This window comes from Homo sapiens, chromosome 17, assembly GCF_000001405.40.
Source record: "Homo sapiens chromosome 17, GRCh38.p14 Primary Assembly".
Classification (NCBI taxonomy): Eukaryota; Metazoa; Chordata; class Mammalia; order Primates; family Hominidae; genus Homo; species Homo sapiens.
Genome location: NC_000017.11, coordinates 21,332,923 through 21,360,771, shown reverse-complemented (window position 1 = coordinate 21,360,771; position 27,849 = coordinate 21,332,923). Strand labels below are relative to the sequence as shown.

The 27,849-nt window shown below is 53.6% G+C and overlaps 8 annotated features.

Moving 5' to 3' along the window:
- Nucleotides 597–1,307: an enhancer, noted in NCBI's record as "H3K4me1 hESC enhancer chr17:21262777-21263487 (GRCh37/hg19 assembly coordinates)". NCBI's record gives its function as "activates a minimal SCP1, AML or CMV promoter by ChIP-STARR-seq in naive H9 embryonic stem cells {active_cell/tissue: H9 hESC(naive)}" and the evidence as "EXISTENCE:reporter gene assay evidence [ECO:0000049][PMID:30033119]".
- Nucleotides 2,371–2,941: an enhancer, noted in NCBI's record as "NANOG-H3K4me1 hESC enhancer chr17:21261143-21261713 (GRCh37/hg19 assembly coordinates)". NCBI's record gives its function as "activates a minimal SCP1, AML or CMV promoter by ChIP-STARR-seq in naive H9 embryonic stem cells {active_cell/tissue: H9 hESC(naive)}" and the evidence as "EXISTENCE:reporter gene assay evidence [ECO:0000049][PMID:30033119]".
- Nucleotides 2,942–3,512: an enhancer, noted in NCBI's record as "NANOG-H3K4me1 hESC enhancer chr17:21260572-21261142 (GRCh37/hg19 assembly coordinates)". NCBI's record gives its function as "activates a minimal SCP1, AML or CMV promoter by ChIP-STARR-seq in naive H9 embryonic stem cells {active_cell/tissue: H9 hESC(naive)}" and the evidence as "EXISTENCE:reporter gene assay evidence [ECO:0000049][PMID:30033119]".
- Nucleotides 13,188–13,687: an enhancer, noted in NCBI's record as "H3K4me1 hESC enhancer chr17:21250397-21250896 (GRCh37/hg19 assembly coordinates)". NCBI's record gives its function as "activates a minimal SCP1, AML or CMV promoter by ChIP-STARR-seq in naive H9 embryonic stem cells {active_cell/tissue: H9 hESC(naive)}" and the evidence as "EXISTENCE:reporter gene assay evidence [ECO:0000049][PMID:30033119]".
- Nucleotides 13,688–14,189: an enhancer, noted in NCBI's record as "H3K4me1 hESC enhancer chr17:21249895-21250396 (GRCh37/hg19 assembly coordinates)". NCBI's record gives its function as "activates a minimal SCP1, AML or CMV promoter by ChIP-STARR-seq in naive H9 embryonic stem cells {active_cell/tissue: H9 hESC(naive)}" and the evidence as "EXISTENCE:reporter gene assay evidence [ECO:0000049][PMID:30033119]".
- Nucleotides 14,865–15,422: an enhancer, noted in NCBI's record as "H3K4me1 hESC enhancer chr17:21248662-21249219 (GRCh37/hg19 assembly coordinates)". NCBI's record gives its function as "activates a minimal SCP1, AML or CMV promoter by ChIP-STARR-seq in primed H9 embryonic stem cells {active_cell/tissue: H9 hESC(primed)}" and the evidence as "EXISTENCE:reporter gene assay evidence [ECO:0000049][PMID:30033119]".
- Nucleotides 16,937–17,437: an enhancer, noted in NCBI's record as "H3K4me1 hESC enhancer chr17:21246647-21247147 (GRCh37/hg19 assembly coordinates)". NCBI's record gives its function as "activates a minimal SCP1, AML or CMV promoter by ChIP-STARR-seq in naive H9 embryonic stem cells {active_cell/tissue: H9 hESC(naive)}" and the evidence as "EXISTENCE:reporter gene assay evidence [ECO:0000049][PMID:30033119]".
- Nucleotides 21,650–22,585: an enhancer, noted in NCBI's record as "H3K4me1 hESC enhancer chr17:21241499-21242434 (GRCh37/hg19 assembly coordinates)". NCBI's record gives its function as "activates a minimal SCP1, AML or CMV promoter by ChIP-STARR-seq in primed H9 embryonic stem cells {active_cell/tissue: H9 hESC(primed)}" and the evidence as "EXISTENCE:reporter gene assay evidence [ECO:0000049][PMID:30033119]".

Below are 27,849 nucleotides of genomic sequence, written 5' to 3'. Positions count from 1 at the left end.
GCCATTACAGCCACTCTCAGGAACTGCTGAGCCTCAGTAATGAGAGCTTCTCCCTCCCTGGAGGCCTCATCTTGGCCTGGGGACCAGGAAGACAATCATCATTAGAGTCTCCATTTCACAGATGGGGAAGTGGAGGACCCTGGGGCCAGTTCCCAAGCCCCTTTCAGCAATGCTTCTCTGTCCACTTCCCATTTCCCAGCCACTGTTTCATTCCTATCTGTAGCAGTGAAGACAAAAATCATGTTTTCAAAAGTTAGTTTGAAATTTAACCTTTTCAATGTGAAATAGAAACACTAATGTCCTGTTCTGCTTTGCCTCAGCTCAGGGTCACTATGTTGGGGGGCTGAGCTCTCCCCAAAGCACCTAGGGGAAAGAGTCTGATCTCTACCCCACTGCTGTGGAAACCTTCATTTCAGAATTCCTCAAGTTTAGCCCAGCCTCCGTTAACGAGATGCGCTGACCAAGTGGCCTGGCAGGAGCTGATTTACGCAGGGACCGTGCTGGGGACTCCCTGCTGGGGTGAGGTTAAACACAAGGGCTTTGCTAAAGAGGAAGAAGCAGTTGAACCAGGCCACGAAGGAAGAGACAGAAGGCTTTTCAGCCCTGAACAGAGACAAGGTGGTGGCAAAGCATAGGCAAAGGCCTGGAGGCAGGAATCTGGCTGGATGAGCATGGGGCAGGGTCATCATGGGGCAGCAGGCAGGTCACAGAAGTTCCCCCGGTGAGCTGGGGCGTCATCAGGAGGGCTGTGGGGAACTGTGGCAGGGTGGTCAGCTGGGTCCTGGCCCCGATGGAGCTGAGTGTGGGTCCTTCCTTCCCAGCACAGCCCTCTCCCTGTGCTCAGCATGATGCTCACAACCAGTCCCCTTTCTACTCAGCAAAGAGAAAGGTCTTGAAGCTTAGTGGAAATTCCCCAAGGTCTCCCCTTCCTGGAGGGCCTGTTGAGGCTCCAGCATCCTCCTGCCCAGCAAAACCTGAAGTTCTCTCACTGGTGGCTCATTGTGGGAGCGACTTGGTGGGCGGGGGCACCACAAGAGGCTTGAGGGGCAGAAGGCAGCACAAGTGAGGGGCCCACTGCTCAAAATCAGGAGAAAGAGCCCGTCCCACCCTGCCACAGTCCCGCTTCAGCACCATACACCTGTGGGCACATGCACGTGCACACATGCACACACACACATATGCACACACATACACACACACATGCAGGCGCACACTTCAGCTTCGAAAATGTCTGTGGCTCTCCCTGCACACCGCAGGCTCATTATAAAATAATTGAGCGCTTGTAACACTGTTTTTCTCCTTGAGGATCCCAATTAAGACATCACTTCATGCTCTTCCTGCCCTGAAAGCCATCTCTAATTCCCCTCCCCTCGCACGCAGGGCAGGCAGCGCTAAAAATACTGTTCCAGGCACACTCTCTTTCTGCCACGCCTTCCCCCTTCCCACGCTGACCCCACCCAGAGGTCAGGCGCCCCTGGGGAAGGAGGACCCTATCCCTCCCTTAGTGACCTGGAACAAGTGACTTCATCTAGGAAATGGGGAGAAGAATGGCATCTGTCTCATCAGGTCCTCATGAGGAACAAATAGTACATGTGTGAAGCACTTAGCACGAGTCAGGCTGGATCCAGCCCTTCACAGCCTGGAATGTTTTCCGGGTGAGATAGCTGGCTTTAGGGTGTGGCTCAGCCCAGATTGTGCGGTCCCCACTGAGCTTCCCGCCAGCCTCAAATGTCAGGGCTAAGAGCTCCTAATTCTAATTCTAATGCTGAGAGTCTGATTCTGAGGTTCACAAGATTCTGACTCCTGGCTGCTCAGACCTCAGCAGATGCAAGTCCCTCCTTTGCTACCTCCACCAGGTCGGAGCCCCCATGGTTGCTCACCAGGACTCAGGCAGTGGCCACCCCCTGCAGGCCTCCCTGCTGCCCCTGTGAGCCCCATGCACAGCCAAGGAAGTTCTGGGAGACTGGAATCAGACCTGAGCCCTCAAGGCTTGGCATAGCAGTGAGAATCTATGACCTCCCTCTGCCACCTCCCACCTCCCTCCCCCTCCCCCAGCCTCCAGGGCTTGCTAGCTTCTGTCCCCATCTCGGGGACCCTTGCACTTGCTGTCCCACTGCCTGTGACCTTCAGTCCTTGCCCTCCACTTGGTAGGCTCCTTCTCACCACCCAGGCTCAGCTCAAAGGTCTCCTGTAAGAGGCCTCCCCAAACCCTCAGACTACAACAGCCACCCCATGCCTGTCTCATGATGCCTGCTTCATCTCCTGCACAGCCCTTTCCTTCCAGAAATCGTCCCACTGATTGTTTTCTGTGTTTACTGTCCTCTCCTCTACTGGAGTGTCTCTTGCTGCTGTGCTCCAGGGCCTGGCATACAGTGAGCACTCACTGAATATCTGCTAGTGAATGAATGGATTATGTAACCAGGAGAGCCTAAGGTCTTGGCTCTCCCTCTCGAGGTCCAATACTTTGTTAGCTCAGCAAGCAAAAGTGTGTTGATTGATTGACTGAGGGGGCACAGCTCCTCCGTAAAAAGCAACTCACATACACTAGGGGAGTCAGAAATCAGCAATGCAACCCCTTCTTGGCAAAGACGACAGAGGCACCTGACTCGCTGGCCCCATGGCTTACACACCTCTCCACTAGCCATTACCACCTGCCTCAGAGATGGATGAAGCCCTTTCAGAGGGTCCAGCCACTTACACCTGCAGGGGTTCCCTTTCCTTTGTCCTCCCCAGCTCTGCAAGGGTCAGCTGCAGCCCTGCCCAGGCTGACCGGAACTTGACACGTTGACCTCGGAGGGGGCCTCTGAGGCCTGCAGGGGTTGGTGAAGGGGCAGAAGCTCTGCCGTGAAGGGCAGGTCCTGAATGGAGCCAGAGTGGGGACTGGGAAGGAGGGGCAGGGCTAATGGGCTGCTAATGGCCCTGCAGCTGGGCTCTGGTGACCCCTGGCTCCCTAGGGGCCAGAAACAGTGCTAATGGGGCTGCCCCTCCCACAGCAGGCCCTTCCCTTCTGTTCCAGATCGGCTAGGCTGTTAAGGGGTAAGTGGCAGGAGAGAGGGAAGAGTGATCAGCCCCCTCCATTATCCCCACCACCTTGGCCCTCAAGGCAGCTCAGTGAGCCCAGAAACCAGCCTAGAATGTGGGGGAGGACATCGGCACTCCATCCCCTCATTACAGGCGGGGAGCTGAGGCTGGTGCATTAATCTGGTCCTGTTCACCTTTTCCCCTCTTGTTCCCAAGTTCATGGTTCACTTCTCCTCTCTGGACTCAAGCCCATAGGCACAGGCCGCAGCTGGCAGGGAAAGCCAGGGAGGGCACAGTAGGCACAGTGCCCAGGGCCCACACAACTTCCAGGATCCGTGGTGGGAGCAGTGAGAGGAGAGACAAAATAGTTTCAGGGCCTTGAAAGCCAGCTAAGTCTGAAGTTTGGATTTGTATCTGTGAGCAATGGGAAGTGAAGAGAGGGCTTATGATGGGAAGGTCGGGATCAGATGCTAGAGAAATCTCCAGAGAAAAGAGATGACTGCAGAGGCTGATATAGTAAATAATGGAGAATGGAAACAGAGGGAATATGAGTAGATGGATGAGTGGGCAGACGGGTGAGTATATTTACAGGGAAACAGACAATTGAATGGGGTGAGCAGGAGTGCTAAGAGGGATGTAAAGATGGATGGATGGATGAGTGGATGGGTGGGTGTATAGATAGATGGATGAATTGATGGATGAATGGATGGGTGGGGGATTGGTGAGAAGGTGCATGGTTGAGTGGATGGGTAGATGAATGGTGGGTGGATGAATGAATGGATAGATAGATGAATGGATAAGTGGATGGGTGGGTGGGTAAGATGGATGGATGTGTGAGTGAGTGGACAGATAGATGAATGGGTGAATGGATGGGTGGGTGGGTAGATGGATAAATTGATGGATGAATAAATGAGTGGGTGAATGGATGGATTGGTGAATTGGTGAAAGGGTGGGTGGATGAATGAATGGGTGGATGCATGGGTGGGTAAGTGGCTGGATGAATGGATGAATGGATGGATGAATGGATGGATGGATGAATGGATGAATGGATGGATGGATGGATGAATGGAGGGATGGATGGATGGATAAGTGGGTGAGTGGGTAAATGAATAAATGGAACGTAGCTGAATAGATGGATGGATGGATGGATGGGTGGGTGGTTGGCGAGGTGAGTGAATGGAGTCAAAGGGATAGATAGATGGGCAGGGCATGAATGGGTGAGTGGATGACTAACGGAAAGATGGACAGGGGATGAATGGGTGAGTGGATGACTAACGAATTATATTTCTCTCTATTCCAGTGAAGACGTAGAATATATTTTTAGTGTTTTTGTTTTGTTTTGTTTTGTTGTGTTTTGTTTGAGATGGAGTCTCACTCTGCCGCCCAGGCTGGAGTGCAGTGGCGCAATCTCAGCTCACTGCAAGCTCCGCCCCCTGGGTTCACACCATTCTCCTGCCTCAGCCTCCCGAGTAGCTGGGACTACAGGTGCCCGCCACCACGCCCGGCTAATTTTTTGTATTTAGTGTTTTTATTTTTTATGGATAAATGGACTCATTTAGGCCAAAGTGCCCTGGGTGCTTGAAAGTCATAATGTGGCCCTGGGGAAGGCCTAGCTGCCCTCACCTGATGGCTGGTTAAGGCCCTTTGTTCTCCTCCCTCCCTCCAGCCTTCCTCAGCCTCCAGGAGGTCTCAATTTCCCCACCTCCAGGCTTTTGCCCAGGCTGTTTCTTCTGCCTTGGATACTCTTGTCAAAACTCTTCTCCCCCAGGAAGCCCTCTGGAGCTGGCTTAGGGTCTGGTCTGGATTCCCGCAGATGCTTGGTCTTCTGTTTGAAACAGCCTCTACCCAGACTGTGAGCCCGGGGAGCGGGAGACGTGGGTGGGCAGGGGTGTGGGGGAGGTGGCAGTGGTGGGGAGCCATCATCTCTCCACACAGGCAGGAGCCCTGAGAAAAGGAAAGGACGGCCTGTTACGGCCGTTTCCCAGATCCCGTCCACGTGTCAGGTCCCTCATTACCGCCTCTCACCATCCCGCTTTCCAGATGAGGACCAGCCCCAGGTCAGTAAATGGCTAGACCCTTATTCAGCAAGAGTGGCCTGAGGCTCTGGAGGGGTGGGAGGGGCCGAGGGGAAAGGCTCCTGGAGATGGAGCCCAGGACCCAGCAGCAGCAACAGGAATAATAAGGCTATTACCATAAGGGAAGTGCAGCAGCCATTGCAGCTCGTCCCTTCCCTGCTCTGTGACCTTGGAGCACAATCTTAACTTTCCTGAGCCTCAATTTTGTCATCTGAAAAATAAGGTCAGTTATCACCCAACCAGGGGTCAAGAGGGATAATAGTGAAGGACATGCAGGTCCTCGTGGCAACATCCATGACTGCGGTTGTCATGCCTCCCAAGCTGGCTTCTTGGCTCCCCTCAAATCCTGCCGGCAAGGTCAGTCTCACCACATGCCTCACAGTGGCCTCAGGTAGGCACAGGGCCTGGAAGTGGGACCTGTCTGTGGTGGGCGCAAGCACCGGCATTGGTGATGGGGGTTGAGGGTGGTGGGAATTGACAGCTGGGCCGGCTGGGGAAGGGAAAGAACTGGGAAACCAGGCCAGACACTGCAGCATTAACGCAAGGGCAACAGGACACGGCCATAACTTCACCAAATGCCCGCGAGGGGCCCTGGGCTCGGCTTGGGGGTGGGAATCCACTGTGAGAAGAGGAACCACAGTCTCGCTGGAGGTGTTGGAGGCAGGGCTGGAAAGATGGGAGCCAACTTCCATTCATTCATTCATTCATTCATTCATTCCTTTGCTGAACACCTGCTCTGGGCCAGTCCCCGATCTGGGCATTGGAGACATAACAGGGCACAAAAGAGACAAAAGCCCCTGTTCTTGTGCAGCTGATCTTCTTGTGCAGGAGACAGACAACAAAAATGGAGATGCGTAAACTTCAGAGGAGGCAGTTTCAGGCAGAGGTCAAGGTATGAAGGTCAGGGTAGCAGGGTGGCGAATGAGGCGTGAGCGGCTACTTAGCCAGGGAGGTCAGTGAGGGCCTCTCCAAAGAGGGATGTTTGACAGGAGACGTGAAAACTGGTGCAGAGATGGAAAAAGAGTGTTCCATTCTGAGTGGGGGTGGTCAGCAGGCACAAGGCTTGGAGGCAGGACAGAGCATGGCCACTCACACAGAGAGCCCAGAGAAACAGAGCGCTGGCCCCGAGTCAGGGAGAGGCTAAGCCAGATCACGGGACCCTGAGAGCCACAGCACAAGACTTGAACTTTATATTTTTGTTCTATGGGGAACAGCTGGAAGGTTTTAAGCAGGGGCAAGATGGTCTCTCTGATGGGTTTATTTTTGTTGTTGTTTTGTTTGTTTGTTTGTTTTTGAGATGGAGTCTCGCTCTGTCGCCAGGCTGGAGTGCAGTGGTGCAATCTTGGCTCACTGCAGCCTCTGCCTACCGAGTTCAAGCGATTCTTCTGCCTCAGCCTCCCAAGTAGCTGGGACTACAGGCGTGTGCCACCACAACCAGCTAATTTTTGTATTTTCAGTAGAGACAGGGTTTCACCATATTGGCTAGGCTGATCTCGAACTCCAGACCTTGTGATCTGCCCACCTCAGCCTCCCAAAGTGCTGGGATTACAGGCGTGAGCCACCGTGCCGGGCAGGTTTATTTTTTTTAATTAAGGTACTATTTACATAATGTAAAATTAACCATTTCAAAGTGAACAGGCCAGGTGCAGTGGCTCATGCCTATAATCTCAGTACTTCAGGAGGCCGAGGCAGGAGGATTGCTTGAAGCCAGGAGTTCGGGACCAGCCTAAGCAACATAACAATATTCTGTCTCTATTTTTAAAATGTATTTTTTAAAATGAATCATTTAGTGGAATTTATTATACTCATAATGTTGTGCAACCACCACCTTTATCTAGTTCCAACACATTTTCATCACCGCAACAGAAAACCCTGTCCCCATTTCCCCTCCCTTCAGCCCCTGGCAACCACCAATCTGCTTTCTGTCTCTGTGAATTTCTCTGCGAACACGCTGGCACTTTTGCCTTTGTCTTCTCCACTAGAATGTTGCTCCCCTGGGACACGGATGTTCTGGGACCTGCTTACCCCCAGTGCCCAGCACAGTGCCTGGCACACAGTAGGCACTCAGTGACCTGGTGGAATGAATGAATTTGAGAATAGTTGTCCACTGGTGTTTCCTGTGAATGAAATCCTGCATGCACGCTCTTGCGCCTGGCTGCTTTCACTCAACATGATGCTGTGAGGCTCATCCGTGTTGCAACATAGACCAGCATGTCCTTCCTTGTGATGATTGCATGATGCTCTGCTGTGTGGACAGACCGTGTTTCACTTTGCGTCCATCAGGTGACGGATGTTAGGATATCTCCACCTTTGGCGACAGTGAGCAGCCCTGTGTGAACATGGCTGTGGTGGTGCTTGTTTAGACGCCTGTCTTCATTTCTCTTGGGTGTACACACCTGTGTATGCGATCACTGGGCCATGTGGTGGCACAAATGTGCCAGTGCGTACGTGGAAAATGGGATGGAGGGAAATCAAATTGGATGCAGGGCTGAGGTGACCACACGAGCCGGGCATGCTCTTCCCACACCAGCTCTAGGACATGTTCCTCTCACAGTGGGGAGACTCGGGGCTGGAGTCTGATGCCAGGAACGGCTTGCTGGAGAGCCCCAGAGTTTGGAGCATGGTGGGCGCTCAGCCACCCCAGGAGCCAGAGAATCCCCGCTTTGAGAAGCCTGCAGGCCCCAGAAACAGATGGCTGTGTGGACTCCTGCTGCCCTCAGGTTTGTCTCACCCCCTGCAGAGGCCAAACAGGGAGAGGGACACTGGGCGGCAGAGCTGGTGGGCTTGTCCTTGGCGAGAATGAGCCAGGCCCAGCAACTCAGCAGCCTAGATGTCACAAGCACAGTCACAATAAATCAACTCTTGCTCATCCCACCGCCTCTCCCCTCCCCGCCAGGGCCATGCTGTGAGCCTCAGGTGAATTTCCTCCCCCTCTCTGAGGACCCCTGAGGTTCTGGGGTTCGAGGTAGCTCACCCTGCCGGAAATCCAGGAAGGCTGCCACCATTTCCCAGAGGCTGCTCTGTGGGCACAAAGATCTGGGGCCCGTCCTCTGACACCTGAGGTCCTCCACATCCCCTTCTGTGAAATGGGAACAAGAATCCTCCCCCGACCACCGGCCTAGGGGCTGCACTGGGGGAAATGAAAGCCCAGTTCCCCGAAACCGTGGGAGCCTGTCACATCATTGCACCTCGCTGAGCCTCAGTTTACCCAAATACTCAGTGAGATTGGACCCGTGGCTTCTCTGCCCCTCTGGCCTGTCACCCTGAGCCAGGATGAGCGCACCCCGCCCAGGCGGGGAGAAGGCCTGGATGACAGGGGAGGCGAGGCCCAGCCCAAGCCCAAAATAGCGCAGGATGGCAGGATGATGGAGGCAGTGCCGGGCAGCGGCTGGGTGGGTAATTGATTGCCCTGTGCCGGCCATGAATAAAACATCGGCCTCTGCTCCATCCGGGTTCATTATTTGCTGGGGGGACAGGCCTCGTTTATTAGGGTTGCCTCTGCTTGTCTCTTCCTCCCCCGGATGAAGAAGACCCTGCCCTTGGCCCTCCCTCCTCCCTCTCCTGACTTGGCTCCCCAGTGCCCAGAAGACAAACTGGGGCTCTGGGCAAGATGGCCTGTCCATGTCCCCTCCCACCAAGTTGGCAACCCTCTGCTCCCTAAACCCACCCTGACTTTCAGGCAGACTTTCAGGGAGCCCTGCCTTTGCCTGTGCTGTTCCATTGCCTGGAACCCTCTCTCTCTTCCTCCCCTGAGGAAATCCTTCACCCGCCCCATGGCCCAGTGAAGAAGCTCTTTCAGGAAGCTTTGCCTGTCCTCAACACCAACCTGGGGGGCAAGGGGCCCCACCCACCCTGGGCGTGGTTAGTGCTGTCCCACCCCCTGCAACAACTGACCACTGGCCTGGGGGCCCTGCTCTCCACCCCCCAAAACCATACTGCTCACTCTTAAAAGTGTAAACCAAATTCAATCTAACTGGAGGTGCCATTTTTCACCCATCAGGTTGTCAAAGACCCCAGAGTGGCATGGGGAGTGTCCCCAGACCTACTGATGACTTTGACTCACAGATAACCAGGTCCCTGAGCAAGGGTGCTGACTGCAGCCTCTCTGCATAACCAGGATGCCACCATGGGGCGGGGTGCATAATGTGTGGGGACATCCACACTGTTGAAGGGGAGACAGCCAGGAAAAAAGAAGAGGCAGCTCCATTGTCACCACATGAGACACTTCCCCAATGCATCAGGTTTGCAAAACCAAGGGTGCAGAGCAGTGTCCACACAGGCTACCTTTTCTGTTCAAAATAAGAACCACAAAAAAGGGCCCAGTCACAGAGGCTCAAGCCTGTAATCCCAAGCACTACAGGAGGCCAAGGCAGGAGGATTGATTGAGCCCAGGAGTTCGAGACCAGCATGGGTAATATAGGAAGACCCTGTCTATACAAAAAAAAAAAAAATTTAATTAGCTGGACGTGGTGGCTAATGCTTGTAGTCCTAGCAACTTAGGAGGCTGAGTCGGGAGGATCCCTTGAGCCCTGGAGTTTGAGGCTGCAGTGAGCTGTGATGGCACCACTGCACTCCAGCCTGGGTATCAAAGTGAGACTCTGTCTCAAAAAAACCAAAACCAAAAAACCAACAAAACAAAAAAGAACCACAAAAAAGATGTCATAGCAATGCTGTGTGTACGGGAGTCTCCAGCAGGACACACAAACAATCCAGCGCTGACCTCTGGAGAGAACCGAGAGGCTGGGGATGCGGCAGGGAGGGGACGTCCACTCCGTGCCTGGATTCCTGTGAACATGGGGCCGTGCACAGTGCCCACGAAAATGAAAATGAAACGTGCCAGCCTGCTGGCCAGGGACTTGTAGTGAAGCACAAACACCACGGACGTGACTGTTGCTGGTGGAGGTTGCAGCCTCTGGATGCCTCAGTGGCGCTGTTCTTGCAGCTGAGCGGAAATGCCCACAGCGTCCGCATCTGGCACGTGCCTGGGGGCCTGCAGCCTCAACAGCCTCAACCCGGAGATACTGATGGTGTGGAAAGGCGGAGACACTGATGGTGCGAAAAGGAAAGGGCGTCTGGGAGGGCCTGTGAGCTGCAGGGCAGCCATCGGGGAGGTGGAGGAGAACCGTGAGGCGTGTTTCTCCGTATGACAGATGTCACCTGAAACCACCCGGATGCTGGCCAAGGCTTTGGCCTCTTCTTGCTGCCTCTGTATTTCTGAAAATGCATCGCTAATGGGGTGAAGGGACTCACCCTCAGGCCTGCCGCCCCACCAGGCTGGGCCAGGACACCAGGCACCCGGCATTACCCCATCACAGCCCCAGGCTGCGTGTGTGTGTCTGGGCGTATCTGTATTTGCATGTCTGTGTCTCTGTATCTATGCAGGTATAGATATGTATGTCTCTATTATCTATATTTGTGTGTCCATGTATATGTGTGTGTGCCTATGCAGATGTGTCTGTATGTGTGTGCCTGTGTGTCCATGTGTGTCTGTGTGTACTGATGTGTGATTGTATGTCCCTGTGTGTCTGTATGTGATCATGTGTGTCCATGTGTGCACATGTGTCCGCGTCTGTGTGTACTCATGTGTGACTGTATGTGTCCCTGTGTGTCTGTGTTGTGCATACCCATGTGTGTCTGTGCGCACATGTACATATCTGTGTGTAGTTGTGTCTGTGTCCCTGTGCACCCTTGTGTAGCTGGGTCTGTGTCCAGCTGTGTAAGAGGCTTCAGTAGGGGAAGCTGGGCTCTGCCACAGGCCCTGATGAGAGTCAAGGCCATAAAACAAACCCTCTGAGCTCCAAACACCTGGTCCTAGGAACGGGCTGGACTTGAGAGTAAGTCAGCCCAGAGCGACTGTGAGGGCCCCAAGCCTGTGGGAACAAGAAGGAAGAGGAGTCCTGGGTCTGGGGTCCAGGCCCCTCCTCAGCCAGTACTGAGAGGGCAAGAGAGAGATCATAGCAGGCCCTGCTGACTGGGCTGATTCTCTGCCCTGGAGACTGCAGGCCAGGGGTCTCCCTCTTGGCCTCCCCTGCCACTAGGTGATGCTCAGGGCTGGGGGTAGGGACTGACCCTTCATGCCCTGGAGCTGCCTGACTGGCCCTGGCTGTGCCTGCTGCAGAAGTGGTATCAGCTGACATCATGAGGTGTGACATCACTGAGGCCTCCTCGAAGCTGAGTCTGTTACTGTGGAAGAAGCCCATCAGTCCTCGTCCTCAGGAAGCTCATGATTCAGGCAAGGAAAGAGGCCCACAGCCAGACCACTCTGATCTGTGCAGTCAGGACATGGCCACGGAATCAGGCAGGATCCAGCCAGGAAAAAGAAGCCCTCCAGTTCTCTCCAACAGAGAGAATTGCGTCTAGGGAGCTGGTCACACTGTGATAAAGGCTCTGAGAGCTAAACGGGATGAGGAGGAATCCAGGATTGAAATCAGCAGGAAGCCGCCATCCCAGGCTGGAGGCAGGGAAGAAAGCAACAGGGTCACCAGTCCCAGGGGCTGTGTTCATGCGAAGGGAGCTGGAGCCTCGGCAGGGGTGTCTGGAGCCATGGGGCTGGTGGGGGCAGGTGGCCGCTGCTAGGAGGCCATCCGAGGAGAGACATAAGGAGAGACGTGCCCCCTTCCCCCACCACCACCAAGCGCAGAAGCCTGAGGGCAAAGGATACTGGGAAATGACCTGAGGGTCAGAGCAGGGGCCCATGGGGGTGGGATGGGGCCCACCTGACAGGCTAGGATGGGAGCACAGCTAGGCCTGCAGCAGGCCCGTCCCCAGGGGCCTGCTCAAACCACAGCCTGCCACTCATCCTAGCAGGGGCCTGGTCTACAACAGGTGCTCAAAAGCATGAGTCGCACAGTGAGTGGGTGCAGAGTGGGAGATAAAGCCAGGTGGCTGGGGCCCCAGAGGGGAAGGAGAAGGAAGGGATGGACACTGGGTGTGTCCATGCCGAGACCTCAGAGGCTCTGAATGCCAGCTTGGGTTTGGCTGAAATCTGAGGGCTGGCACGTCCCCAAACATTCTCTCTCTTACCATAACTTGAAAATGAGTAAGATGTTTAGCCCTAAAGCATCAAAGCCCCTGACTGCTCTTGTTTCTGTCCTAAGCTAGACAGCCCAGTGTTCATTTCCCCCATTCTCCAGACAAGGAAACTGAGGCACAGAAACATGGAGGACCTTGACCAAGTGACGAAGTGACCTGCCCGAGATTTCAGTTAGGGGTGGCACAGCTACAGCAAGGGGCGGTGGACGCCCCCCGACCCCCGACTTTCCAAAGGTGGAGAGATTGCTGCAAACTGCCAGCAACTGGTGACAACCAGGAGAATGTGGTCAAGACCGTTCAGTGACCTTTCAGTTCTGCCTCGTTGGGTGGCAACCGTGCTTCAATCACCAGTGTTTTTCTCCAGACAGAATATAAAGAAGCAGAAACCTGTGATAACGCATGTGCCATCTGTGCCCCAACCACATCCTCTTGCCAGGGCCACAAGCCCTTGCAGGACTCAAGCAAGAGGGTGGATAAGGCAGGCCAAAGGGGTGGACACTCCTGACTCTAGGTTTCAATTTCTTAAGAAAGGCTGGAAATCAGGACTTTTTATGGAAACAAATCTTAGATTTGAAAATGCTGGCCCCTAGTTGGAATGTTTAAAGTATGTGGAATGAATCCATGGAGGCCAGGCTGAGTGCCTACAGTAGGGGCCAGGCCTGTGAGCTCTGCCAGCTCTGAAGCAACTTTCTCAAGTGCCAAGCACATGCCAACCACAGGGCATTTGCACTGCTGCTCCCTGCCTGGAAAGCTCTTCCTGCTGGCATCTTGTGACTCATCCCGCACTGTCTTCAGGCATCTGCTCAAATGTCTCCTCCAGGAGGTCTTCCCTGACCTTTTCCTTCCCATTTCGCTGGTTTATTGTGCTCACTACCACCTGACATCTCAGTGTTGTCCCGCTCCCGATGAGAACATCAGCTCCGTCGTGAGGGCAGGGTCCTTGTCTTAGGCATCCCTGGATGCACAGGGCCTGCCCAACCCAGAGCAGACACTCAGTCAACATTTGATGAATTCATGGTTTAGCACTTCAGGACCCCTGAGGCATGGCCACGGGGACACAGGGCACCCAGGACCATATGCATCACAGACGTGATGTCTGAAAGAGAAGCCAGCTGAGCAGGTTCCAGCCCTTCCCACCCCACAGACTTGCTGGGAACTTTGGGAAGCCCTGACCCTCTGGAGGCCTCAATTTCCCCACCTGTGCAGTGAGGAGGTGATACATGCCACAGTCTCAGGAGCACTCATGGGGTCCCAAGGTGGCCATCATTGCTGGCTTCCTCAGCCAAGCAGAGGGACAGATAGATTGATCAGCTCCATATTGATCGCAGGGACGCAGCTGCTCTGGAGGGGGCAGGAGGAGTGGGAAGCTGAGTGGAGCCAGGACCCCTGGAGGAAGGAAAAGCAAATGCCACAGCCCCATCAATGCCTGGGACCAGGGGGCGGGAAGGGCCGTGATCACCCATCTGAGGGTTTCTTCCCCTGTCACCTAGGGGTTCAGAGAAGCTCAAGGGAGCTCCAGGGGAGTCCAGGCCAGGGCGAGTTCTGAACATGGCAAAGAGACCTCCCCAGCGCACCCTGAGGAGGCCATCTCAAAGCTTCCCCGCTTCTAAGTCATGGAGCAGCTGAGGCCGAGGGCTGGGCCAAGGGAGTCCCAGGGGGTCCCTGCCCATTCAAGCCATGACATTTCTTGGATGCCGTTCACTGAGTCTGGAAGTGTATGCAAGGCTGGCATTCTGCTGCAGAGTCCACTTGAGGCTTGTTTTCATACAAGAGCCTCACGTCCTGCCCTGGATCTTCCAGGAAAGCCAACGCCCAACAGATAAGATGCTGGGAATGTGGCCAGCTCTCTCTGGGAGTGATATCCCCATGTGGGACATGCAGCTACAGCACAAAGAACCAGGACCTAGGGGTCCGGGGTGGGGGGAGGGGGCCTAAGGTTAAATCCCAGCTCCACTCCAACTTGTGGGGTGAAACCCTTTTCCCCTGAGAACCTTGATTTCCTCATCTGGAGCCTGTCCCTTGGGGTCCTGGGTCCCTGGCTGGAGCTCCTGGTTTTTAGGGAGGGAGGAGTAAAAAGCAGCCTTGGATTGGACCGATGGGCAGGTAGGGAGCCCAGAGGGAAGACACAGACAGGATGAGACCATGAGGACTGTTGTTAAGGCCTTGGACAGCAAGAAAACAAACCATTAAACACCAGGGACAGCAACTCAGCCATTCCGCTTCTGGGCCTCTACCCAAAAGCATCAAAACAGGTGTTCAGACAAAGCTTGTACATGAATGCTGATAACAATGCTGTTCACAGTAGCCAAGAGGTGGAAACAGCCCTGAGTCCACCCACAGATGAATGAACACACCAAGTGTGTCCACACAATGGAATGTCTTTCATCCATGACATGAAGAGGGTGGCATTCCGGCACTGGTACAACATGCACAGACTTTGAGGGCACAGAAGGACAAATGCTTAGGGTTCCATTCATATGAAATGCCCAGAACTGGCAAACCCATACAGACAGAAAGCAGCTCAGAGGCTTCCAGGGGCTCGGGGGAGGGCACACGGGGAGTGAGTGTGCCGCATTTTCACGGGATCTTCTTTTGGAGCCATGGAAACGTTTTGGAACTAGAGAGTTGTGATGACGGCAAAACATCGTGAGCAGAATGCCACTTAATTTGTACACTTTAAGAAGTGCAATTTCTGGCTGGGCGCGGTGGCTCACGCCTGTAATCCCAGCACTTTGGGAGGCCAAGGCAGGTGGATCACCTGAGGTCAGGAGTTCAAGACTAGCCTGGGCAACATGGTGAAACCCTGTCTCTACTAAAAATACAAAAATTAGCCGGGGGTGGTGGAGCTTGCCTGTAATCCCAGCTACTCGGGAGGCTGAGGCAGGAGAATCGCTTGAGCCCAGGAGGCAGAGGTTGCAGACAGCTGAGACTGCGCCACTGCACTCCAGCTTGTGCAACAGAGCAAGACTCTGTCTCAAAAAAAAAAAAAAAAAAAAAAGAAGGGCCATTTTACCTTACATGAATTTTACCTCAATAAAAACGGGGGAATCCCCAACCAGGGACACAGGAGAAACAGCAGCCCACGCAGAGACAAGGCTGAGAGGCAGGGCTCTGGATCCGGACCTGCTGGGGAGGAAAAGGACACCCATGCCCCCGGGGCTGCTGTGAGGGAGGAGCGCTGAGCACGGGGGCCCAGAAGCAGAGCAAGTGAAACATTTGCTGTGTTCATTACCATCCCCAGACCATGCTTCTGCAGGGCGGCCCATGCGGCTCAGGCTGGCTGCCCTGCCAGGGGAGGTGCCGGGCCAACCCAGGCCATGCCTGTGGCCACAGCCCCAGCAGTGGCCAAGAGCAGAGCCAGAGTGGGGAGTCAGGTGGGGTCGGCCCTCCCTCCCTGGCTAGTTCATGTCTCCTCCCTGGTCCTCACCTACCTCTGGGAAGGGGATAGAGACCAGTCCTCTAGGAAGCTTCCAGCACCAGAATCTTTCTGCACCTGGAGTCTCTGGGGAAGACAATCAATCAATCAATCTATGGATCTACCCACAGGACCAATGGAGAGGGAGGCAGAATGGTGCATTGGGTAAGCAGTGGTGATTAAGCTGACAGACAGGGGTTCAAATCCCAGCTCTTCCACCTCCCAGCCCTCCACCCTCAGGCCCCAGCTGCCCTAGCCAGCCTTTCCGTGCCTCAGTTTACCCACCTGTAAAATTCAGGTAGTAATCGCCACTACCCCGTAGGGTATTGTGAAGATGGAATGAGTCTGTGAGAACAACGCCTGGCTCATGGTGTGGGCTCCAGAGGTATGACCACTGTTGTGTCTAATTCTCACTGTTGAGAATTAGAACAACAAACTGTTATCCAGGTAAGGGGAGAAAGAAGCCCTGCCCAGAATTGGCCAGAACGTGAAGAGTACATGGGCTAATGCCACCAGCTCTGCTCCCTCCTAAGAAGCTGTGCTGAGCTCGGTGTCCGGAGTGGAGACCCAGAGGAGAGGCCAGGAGAGAGGCAGCTCGGGAGAGGACCGAGGAGGTGCCCCCACACTCGCTCGCACACTCACAAACTCACTCACACACACTGAGAGTCACACACTCACACAGAGACACAGAATCACACACAGAGTCACACATACTCATAGTTACACAATCACAGTTACACACTTACACACACTCACATTCTCACAAAGAGTCACACACTCACTCGCACCTGCTGAGGAAGAGTGCTGAGTGGTCGGGGTGCGCTGGCCACGCACAGGGGCAGCCTCAGCCCCAGCAGCCACACTTGATGAATTTTGCATCACCTTGGCTATGAATAGCTTCCTCCTCGGCAGCGAGACAGACAGACAGTTCAAAGGGAGGAAAAGGGCCCGAGGAGGGAGAGGGAGGGCAGAATGCACCCCGAATCCCTAACTCAGCTCGGGAGGACAGCAGGGCGAGGCGAGGACGCAGAGGGTGGGCAGGGCCTCCCACTCCCACAGGGCTGCGTGCATTTCCAGAGGCGGCAGGTGAGGCTGCAAGGGGCCTCCCGCAGGGCCCTGGCAGCCCCGTTATGCTTCCAAGATCAGGCCCAGAAGGATGCAGCTGAGACAGGAGGGCATCAGGGAGCCCAGGCAGCACGTGGGCCACCTGCAGACCCCCATTCCCCAAGACTGGGGCTTCAAGGCCATTTCTTAGATGGGCACCCTGAGGCCTGGGAAGATCATTGTCCCATCAGAGACTGCACACAGCAGCCTGGGCCTGGGGTGAATGCTGAAGGACCAGGTGAGCCGACAGGCAGGGCCACAGGGGGGTCTGGGGGCATGGCTACGCTGAGGGTGGCAAGGGGACCTCTGCAGCCTCTGGCTGGGGAACCTGGCTTCCAACCCCAGCTCTACCCCTTCCCATCTGAGCAGCCCTGGGCAAGACACTTCACCTCTCTGTGCCTGTTTCCCCAGTAATTAACTCATAATAATGAAAGTACCCCACTTACTAGGTGGTGGTCAAGGTGCAGCCTCTGGGTCCCTGTGGCTCACCAGCTGTGGAACTTTGCCTCTCAGCTCAGTTTTGCCATCTGCAGAATGGGCTGCTGCTGTTCCCTGCCCTGTCAGTTAGGCATAAAGCATTGAGAACAAGCCCTGCACAGCATGAGGACCACACGAGATTTGTCAGCACTGCCAGCTTCTTGGCCAGTGACACCCATAAACAGAGAGTCCCTTCTGGGCAGGCCCTCCCTGCCACCAAGGGGGCATCCCCAAGGGTTCGAGCCACATGCCTCATCCTGCCAGGCTGGCCAGCCTTGGCTGAGGCCCACGCAATGAGCAACCAGGCCAGGGAGCTCAGTGAGGGGACACCAGGTTGGTGTGTGGGTAGACGCCGAGCAGTCAGTCATGTAAGCCTGGCTGTCCTCTCTGCCGGACTTGGGTGAGCGGGTCCTACCTCAAGGCTATCTCTTGTAAACTGTGGGGATGTCCCAGCTGCCCACTGCCTCGCCAGAGACCCAGTGCCAGCACTACAGCCCCAGGGCCCCAGCAGAGTGGTGACAGCGGCTGCACCAGGCACCTACTGCATGCAGGCTGTCTCCTAAGTGCTTTGTGTGCATTAACAATTAATCTTCAAACCCATTATCTGGGGCAGGTGCCGTTAGCATCTCTACTTTACAGACAGAGAAACAGAGGCCCAGGGAGCTAAGGGAACATGCACGGGACGTGGGACCCCACCTTCATTCCTCTGTCCTCGGTGGCACCTGGCATTTCTGATCCTGGCTCTTCTATTCCAGTGCTGGGGCATCAGGGTGGGCCCTTTCCTCTCTCTGGCCTTGGTTTCCCTAGCAGTGAAGGGTCCAGGTGCATAGAGTCTAATCCCTGGCCCTTCTACTTGCTGGCCTAGAAAGTGAGTCTTTCACCCTCTCTGTGCTTCTGTTTTCTCCCCTGTAAAATGGAAATGGGAACGGCCCCTGCCTCCCAGGAGTAAGCTCCTAGGGCAGTGCCTGGCACTTAGTAAGTGCTCAGGAAGTGGCAGCCACGCTGTTATTATTGCTATTGCTGTTGCTGCTGTAAAGTGAGTACTCCCTAAGACCCCTGACCAGAGGATGGGGGTGTCCAAACATCCAGGTTCCCAGAGAGGCCCAGGAGGTGGCCTGTGCCCAGAGCCCAAGGCAGCTGCAGGAGCTCAAGGCCTCCCAGAGTGGAGAGAGCTGCATCCCGGTCAGCCTCCCTCTGTTCCTCCCCACAGCCTTCCACCTGCCGAGCCTACCTCCATGGCGTCTCTGCTCTTCCCTCTGGCCACATCAGAAGAGACCACAAGGAAGCAAAGATTCAGAGAGTGAACTTTCTCACAGGGACCATCCCAAAGATGCCCACACTGGCCTCTTACAGCCCCGCTCTCCCGGCAGGGCCTGGAGCCCAGAGGGTTCCCAGCCCAGCAGCTAAGAACGAGGACTCTTCAGAGTCCCAACTGCTGTGACCCATTCCTGGCTCTGCTGCCTACCTGCTGTGTGACCTTGGGCAGGTTGCTTTGCCTCTCTGTGCCCTAGTTTCCCCATCTCCAAGACCTTAGGTGATAGCAGCCGTAGGTGGGGTGGTTGTGGAGATTCAGGGCCATGACATAGACAAAGCAGTTAGCCTGGTACCCACTGGGCTCCTGAGCCTGGTACCCACTGGCTCCTGAGGCTGCCAACTTGCTGAAGACAGCAGGGCTGCTGGCATCGGACATTCCCAGGGCTGCATCTTTACTCATTGTGTGATCTGGGCAATCCACTTCACCTTTCCATGCCTTGATTTCCTCATCTGTGAAACAGGCTTAATAACACCTATTTGGGGACATGATGAGGATTCAAAGAGGCAAGGCCAGGACAGTGCCTGGCAAACGTTGCTGTCCCTGTGACTGCTGCTGCTGCCATTGTCACTCCTGCCATCCAGAAGACACCCACAGTGTCTGTGGCTTCCTCTGGGGCAGGCCCCACCCTGGAAGACATTGGAGGCTTCCTCTCCAGGTGACAAGGAAAAGCTGAAGGCTGCATCTCCTTTGTTTTCTTCCCAGCAAGACTGACATGCGACAAACACATCAGAAGGGAAAGAAAGGTCGTGAGCCCTGGGCGGCAAAGCCAGGGCAGAACAGGGGCTAGGGAACAAGTGGTTCCCACAAAGTAGGTCCTGACTCTGGATCCCAGAATGTATCCCCTGGAAACCCTTTAGGCATTTGTGTCTGGTCCAGCCTCTGTGCCCAAGCCTCAGCCACCTGCCTCCCCAAGCTCACCTGCACACACACACCTCCGTGTTGGGGCCTGAGCCTCATTGGCTCACTTGGGAGTGTCTCACTTACTGAGTCCATCAGGGTCAAAGCCAGTTGGCTCAAGACAGATGCCAAAGGCCAGGTATACTTGGATCCCAATCTGAGAGCTTGTTAGGCTGCATAACCTCACCAACTCTGAGCCTTAGCAAACAACACAAAGCTGACAAGACCATCATGAACACCACTGGGAAAGAATCAGTGCAGAATCAAGGGTAGCTCCAGTCCCCTGCAGCCACAGGACACTTCACAACCCCTTTAGAGTTTATTCCCCACATACATACCACCCCGTGACCCCCATGACCTCTTTTTTTTTTTGGAGATGGAGTCTCACTCTTGTCGCCCAGGCTGGAGTGCAGTGGCGCGATCTTGGCTCACTGCAATCTCTGCCTTCTGTGTTCAGCGATTCTCCTGCCTCAGCCTCTTAAGTAGCTGGGATTACAGGCAGCCACCACCACACCCGGCTAATTTTTGTATTTTTAGTAAAGACAGTGTTTCACCATCTTGGCCAGGCTGGTCTGGACCTCCTGACCTCAGGTGATCTGCCCATTTTGGCCTCCCAAAGTGCTGGGATTACAGGCATGAGCCACTGCGCCCGGCCAACCCTTTTGTCTGTTAAGCCAAACTTTCCATTGGCTTCTAGCACCTTGTATGTGCTCCTGTCTGACTGTGTCTGTGTCCTCCATCAGAGCTCCTGGGAAGGAGACACCAAGTCAGATTTCTCCCTGTGGTCCCAGCACTACCCAGCATAAGGCCTGCATATCAGAGCCAGGGGAAGGGGCGGTGCTCAGAAAACGTTATTGATATAACTCAAGATTGATTTCACTACATCTAAATTGCAAATACGGCTGCAAATTATTTGCAGCAACTTCCACGAAGAAAGGACTCTGTCTCCCCTCCCTCAAGTCATGTGATTGCCATGCCAGTAGAAGGCAGAGCAATGCTGTGCCAGTTCTGAGACTAGGTGTCAAGGGGCCTTGCCCCTTCCACTCTTGTGCTGGGGACTCCTCTGCCACCTATGACCCAGCCAGGACTAGCCCACTGGGGAGTGAGAGGGCCCCTAAATCACCAGGCCCACATGTCCCAGCTGAGGCCACAGACAGTGACCAAGTGGCTGAGAGCAGCTGAGCCCAACAAACAACCGTGAGCTAATTAAAATTGTTGTTGTTTTCTACCCCTGAGTTTAGGAGCTGTTTGTTATGGCACAATACCTAACTGATACACACCATAACCCCATTTCACAGGGAGGAGATTGAGCTTTCAAGGGGGCAGAACTCAAGGCCTCATCTCCATCAGGGGCTGCAGCAGTGAATTAAAAGTACACACCCAGCTGGGCGCAGTGGCTCACGCCTGTAATCCCAGCACTTTGGGAGGCTGAGGCGGGCGGATCACGAGGTCAGAAGTTCAAGACCATCCTGGCCAACATGGTGAAACCCCATCTCTACTGAAAATACAAAAATTAGCTGGGCGTGGTGATGGGTGCCTATAATCCCAGCTACTCGGGTGGCTGAGGGAGGAGAATGGCTTGAATCCGGGAGCCGGAGGTGGCAGTAAGCCGAGATCATGCTACTGCACTCCAGCCTGGTAACAGAGCAAGACATTGCCCCCACCCCACACACACACACACAAAAAAGTACGTGCCCAGGCCGGGCACAGTGGCTCACGCCTGTAACCCCAGCACTTTGGGAGGCCGATGTGGGTGGATCACCTGAAGTCAGGAGTTTGAGACCAGCCTGGCCAACATGGTGAAAACCCGTCTCTACTAAAAATACAAAAATATTAGCTTGGTGTGGTGGCGCATGCCTGTAATCCCAGCTACTCAGGAGGCTGAGGCAGGAGAATCACTTGAACATGGGAGGCGGGGGTTGCAGTGAGCCGAGATTGCGCCACTGCACTCCAGCCTGGGCAACAGAGGGAGACTCCGTCTCAAAAAAAAAAAAGCGCAACCCCAGAGGATGGGTAGCTGTGACCGTTTCTGCCAGCACTCTTGGTTGCATCATTAAAAGCCTCATTAATAAAGACGTATTGTTGCAGATAAAGCTCAGACCACGGGTACCTTCTAATTGCTCCTGACATTTTTGCACTGGCTGTTCGTTGATCCAGCTGGCAGCCTGGCCCCCACCAGAAAGTGTAAAAGGGCCAGCCAGCATCAGCCTCTTCCCCGAGACGGAGCCACAGGGAGGGAGGCTTCTCCTTTGCCCAGGAAGCCAGCTGTGCCCTGGATGGTGGCAGAGGGGAGGGAGCAGAGGGGAGGTCGGAGCTAGTTTGGCTTCCCCTGTGCACCCTGCAGCCCCAGCCACACCAGGCTCGGCATTTTCCACTCATGCCTCTGCAACTGCTATTCTTTCTGCCTGGTGCACCATTCCCTCTTTCCTTGCTAGACCAGGTCCAACTCATATGCAGCCTCAAGGCCCCTCCAAGTAAATTGCTTTGTTGCCCCCACTGTCTGTCCCCTAGTTCCAGAAAAAACCCACCTCCTCTGCAAGGCTTCCCAAACCACTCAGCCCAAGACTGAAAGCTCCCCATTTCTCTCCACGAGTGCCCCTTGACTGTCATTGTGGCTGCTTGTTTCTTTGATGTCTGTTGGCTCCACCAGACTGAGTTTGGTGAGGGCGGGCTGTGGGCACGGTGGCATCTACAGAGCAGAGTCCGCCCACCAAGGGGCTCTGTGGACACGGGTGGGATGAGTGCGTGAGTAAATGAATAAACAGCCGAACAAGCGAACTCACTCACTCACCATCCTGAGGCTCACAAGCAGGAGTGGAGGCAGAGATCAGTAGATAAGCGACGAGGGGCCTGAGGCCCCCACAGGCAGTGGGACCCAGCATCCCAGGAACACAGAAGCCAATGACCCAGCCGTGGCGCCAGAGGCCAGCCTTGCTGGAAGAGGGCTCCTGGGCTCAGATCTGTGCTCCCTGCTAGCCCCACTTGTGAGCCTCGCACTGGTTACTTTCCTCTCTGTGCCTTGGTTTCCCAACCACAAGGTGAAGGTGATGGTAGCTGCTTAGGCAATAATTGTGGAGCTCATTGTGGGTTGGTATAGAAAGTTGGTGGACCGGAGCTGGCTGTGCCAATGTTGGTCATTGTTTTTGAGTATTTGCCATGAGCAGATGCTGGGCTCACACTGGCCCCAGGAGACAGTGCTAGGATGCCCATTTTGTAGGTGAGGAAACTGAGGCACAGAGAAGTAAAGTAACTGGCCCAAGGTTACACAGCTGGTAAGAGGCAGAGCCAGGGTTCGAACTGAACCCTCTCTCCACAGCCCAGGTGCTGGAGGGAGAGACAGGAGGGGCATTGGCAGGAGGGGTACTGGCTTCCTGCCCATTGCCCCTCTCCCCCTCCCATATGAACCATCAGTGACAAGGGGGATGGTGGGCAAGAGGCCTGCTCAACCGGGATGCTGAACACTGCTGCCCAGCAGCCCAGCCATTCATCTTCACTGACCACACAGATGCCAGAGCCAGCCTCTTAGCTCACAGCCAGCAAGGTTAAAAATACACCCAAACCATGTTTCCATTGACTTGGCCCTGAGTTACGGCCTAGGGCCTGTGGCTGCCTCCAGCTCAGATTCCGGAGGCTGGGCGTGCCAGGCTGGCCGAGGCCACCTCCCGGCCAGAGGGACCAGCTCACCTTCCTGGCCTATGAAAGGGGCTGACCCGCCCCTCCCTGCAGGCTCATGGGAGCATTTCCCAGACACCAGGCCTACAAGAGGCTCCTCCAGCCCTGACCCTGTGGCCAGCAGGGAGCTGGCCAGGCCGAGTGTGATTCAGGAGAGGAAGAACGGACTTTGGAATTTGCTGTCGTGTCAGTTCCTCCTCCTCAGCTGGGAAGACCTAAAGAGGGGCCCGGATGCGGAGACAAAATCAGAGCCAGAGGGGCCCAGGAGACCCCAGAGAGGGCACCGAGCTTTCTGAAGCCCTCAGGGTGGGACTGAAGAGCCCGCGTGCTGGTGGGTGCATGGGTGAGTTCTCTCCCATTCCCCCTCCCGGTGAAGAAAGTGGAGGTGCTGCGGTCACCCAGGCCTCCTCTAATGCCTCTCCCCCTCCACACACACACACACACACACACACACACACACACACACACACACACACACTGGTTCCTTATCTACTTGCAGGTGCTGCCCTGGGCAGATGCCTTTGTCACCTCCTCAACTGACATCTCCCTTCTCCCCATTAACAGAAGCCAGACCTCATCCAGCGAGGGGTCAGTGGCGCAACCTCCAGAACTGGGCTGTCCTCTGCAGCAGCCTCTCACCACACATTCACACTTAAACAAATGAAAATGACCTTTAGTAAGAATTCCACTCCTCCATCAAATGAGTCACATTCTGGGTGCTCAATGGCCACCTGTGGCTGGTGGCTGTCATTTGGACAGCACAGATCTGGAACATTCCCATCAACACAGAGAGCTCTGTTGCACAGCTCAGCTCTGGAGGATGAATCCTGACTGGGCCAAACCAGTCAGGGAATCCCACTCCCCATGGCAAGTGGGGGGTCTGTGGCTGCCTCCTGATGTACTTCTGAACAACGATGAAACATAAGGGAAGGCTGGGAGAGATGGACCTCCTGGTATAAAGAGATAGACGTGAGAGGAGCAGACTCTTAACACATTGGCTGACCCCCTTGCCTCCAGCCTTTGAAAGCTGTGAGATGATGCAATGACTGGAGATGAGGCAGCCATCTTGCAACTATGAGGCAAAAAGCCTAAGAACAAAAACCAACACACACAGGATGGAAGGAACCTGGAGCTCCACCAAGCTATGGAACTAACTGCCTCTGCAGTTTTCTTTCTATGAATCCAATGACTTTATTACTAAGCCACTGTAGTTGAGGAATTCTGTCACCTGCTGCTGAATACTCTCTGATAAAACTACAAACCAATACCCACATTTGGCTCTTAGGCCTTTAGGTGAACTTTTCCCTCTTAGTGAAATTCTCCCCTTCTCATTTCTGTTCAGTCTATCCATGTGTTAGGGCCCAGATCAAAGGCTGCCTCCCCCAGGAAGCCTTCCTTGAACATCTCCCACAAATCTGGAAGCGATCACTCCCTCCTCTGCCTTAGAATTGGTCTCTGTCTTCCAACCCGCAGCACCAGTGAGGGCAGGGTTTACACCTGTCTTCATGGAGAGTGCCCCAGGCCCTTAGAAACATGCACACCAAGTAACAGGGGCTCAACTGATATTTGGTGAATAAAAGAATAGCTTTATTTCAGCCTCCTCACCATGCCCTGTACGATAGGGTTTATACAAAAGCTTGTGAAATGGAGCAAGTTTCTCATGGCTCTCAGAAGTGGGGAAATCAAAGCAGACCACCTGCCCAGACCTCACACCACACACCCATGTACCTTCCTGGACAATTGAGGAGTCAAATGGAGATGCAAGGGGGAAAATTTTAATTCTATGCAAAGCCCATTGACAGATGAATGAATAAGATGTGGTTGATACCCACGGTGGAATAAGATTCAGCCTTAAAAAGGAAGAACACTCTGATACGTGCTGCCACATGGTGAATCTTGAGGACATTACGCTAAGGCATGAAAGGACAAACATGACTCCACTTATATGAGGTCCTCAACTTGTCAAATTCAGAGAGACAGAGAGTAGAATGGTGGTTGCCCGGGGATGGGGGAGAGATGAGAAGTTGTTTAATGAGGACAGAGTTTCAGTTTTGCAAGATGAAAAGAATTCTGGAGATGGATGGTGGTGATGACTGCATGCACAACAATGTGAACGCGCTTAATGCCGCTGAACTGTGCACTTAAAAATGGTTAAGATGGTAGATTTTATATTATGTGAATCTTACCACAATTAAAAATTTGCTTAAATGCTATGTGGAACTGTGATATTGTTAAATATACGTTTGGTCTTCTTCCCTTTTCCTGGCATACAACTCCTGAAATCCTTGGAATCTCCAAAGTGATGTCTTCTTGCATGTGAATGATTCACTGAGGGCTGGCAGCCCCTAAGTAGCTTCAGGATAGGGCTGGTCAGAGGAAAGACCAAGGCAGGATCAGTCCTGGGAAGAGGAGAGAGAACTGACGGTTAAGTTGATCACCAGTGACATTGCAATCATATCATATTACAATCAATCGTATCTCCATAATGAAGCCTCCGTAACAACATAAAGGGACAGATTCAGGGAGCTGAACACATGAAGGTTCCTAGAGGGCGGTGCTTCCCAGGGAGGGCATGGAAGTTCCACACCCCTTCCCCATAACTTACCCTATGCATCCCTTCAGCTGTCTCCTTTGACGTATCTCTTGTGATAAACCAGTAAATATAAGTAAGTGTCTCCCTAAGTTCCGTGAGCCACTCTAGCAAGTTAAACCCAAGGATGTGGCCATGGGAACCCCAATTTCAAGCTAGTTGGCCAGAAGCAGAGGTGAAACAACCTGGGGCTTTTGATTGACATTGGAAGTTGGGGAGCAGTCTTGGGGATTGAGCCCTTGCTACCACACTGGACTGGGGTCTGCTTGCCAAGTGCAGTAAAGCCAAACATCCACACTGAGGTTTTGCAGCAGGAGAAGAGAGGGCACTTATTTGCAGGGCACCAAGCAAGGAGAATGGGGACAGCTCATACTTGAGACCCAACCTCCCCAGTGGCTTACAAACAAGGCTTCTTAAAGACAGGGGTACATTTCAGGAAAGCAGAAGTTACAAGTACAATCATAAATCAATATACAGGGGCTACACATTGGTTTGGCCTAAAAACGTGGGATGTCTTGAAGTGGGTGCACTTCTGGGTCATAGGTAGATTCAAAGACTCTCTGATTTGCCATTGATTAAGGAATCTAGACTTTGTCTAAAAACTTGGGGTCAGCAGAAAGGAATGTTAAGGTCTGGCCTGTGGATGTGGCTTCTTTCAGGCCCCTCAGGAAGAAATGTAGATCAAAGAACAGCAAGAGGTCAGAGTTCAGTGCTCAGCTCCCCGTTCTCTGGAGTCTATGTGCCAGCAGACTCCATGTGGTGGGGGTCCAGGTTTTTGAAAAGCTCAGGGTCGGTGGCCGGTTAGCTCAGTTGGTTAGAGTGTGGTGCTGAAAAACAACTCAGGGACATACGTGAAGATCTTATCTTCAGTTTCTATAGGGAACCAAACATCTGACTCTAACTTCCTTGGCTATTGTTTTATGTTACTATTACCTTCTTGCTTATCAAGCTGCTCATTTACTTCTCAGGCCTAGCTGGGTACCTGGAAGTTCCCCTGAAAGGACTCAAGATTTTCCTTTATCTCCTTGTGTGGGGTAGGGTGGCAGTGCTGGTGTCCCCTTAAGAGGGAGGGGTCTCTGCTCTGTCCCCTCCTCAGCCTGTGGTCCGATGTTGTCTTCAGATCGATGGTGTCAGAACCCAGCTGGTGTCTGCTGCAGAAGTGCTTGCTTGCTGGTGGGGAACAATCCCCCTACATTTGGTCAGTGTTCTGTGTTGATTGTTGAGTGATAGGATAGAAAAAGCACTTTGGTTTGGGTTTTTCTATACCCACAGAGAAAGATACATATTCAAAGAGTTTGTAAAATGACGGGATACAGTTTAGACCAGAATGACTCCAATAGGCCCACCACCCGCCTGAAGAAACAGCATTCCAGTCCCGTGGAGGCCCCGAGTGTCCCCACCCAGCTTCATCTCCCTCTCCTCTCAAAAAAACTCCCTTGCTTTTTACAGTTCTGAAGGTGTATTCTTAAACAATATACAGTTCAATTTTACTTGGTTTTAACCTCTACATAAATGTAACAGAGAAAACACTAAATCTCTTCTGTGGCTTCCTCTTCTGCCTGGGTATCTTGGGGTGAGCATTTTTATTATTATCTGTTAAACTTGCATGTGTGCCATGTTCTCTTTGGCGTGTCTCATACACTTAACAGTTACAAATAAATACATACAGTGCCAAATGTAAAGTTCAAAGTCTTAAAAAAAAATAAAGCAGTTTAGGCCAGGCGCGGTGGCTTATGCCTGTAATCCCAGCACTTTGGGAGGCCGAGGCGGGTGGATCACGAGGTCAGGAGATCGAGACCATCCTGACTAACACGGTGAAACCCCGCCTCTACTAAAAATACAAAAAATTAGCTGGGTGCGGTGGCGGGTGCCTGTAGTCCCAGCAACTTCACAGGCTGAGGCAGGAGAATGGCGTGAACCCGGGAGGCAGAGCTTGCAGTGAGCCGACATCGCGCCACTGCACCCCAGCCTGGGCGACAGAGTGAGACCCCATCTCAAAATAAATAAATAAATAAATAAATAAATAAATAAATAAATAAATAAATAAAATAAAGCAGTTTAAGTGACTGTTTTCATGCTCTTCAGATGAGGAAGCCCTGTCCAAGCATATCACCAAAGACAAGCCGAAAAGAATAGACTGACACGTTTGATGACAAAATAGCTTAAAAAGCCTGTGGATTAAAAAACTCCTGAAGCAGAGTAGGATGGGCAAAACAAAAACTGTGAAAATAAGGCCCTGGAAAGATGAATA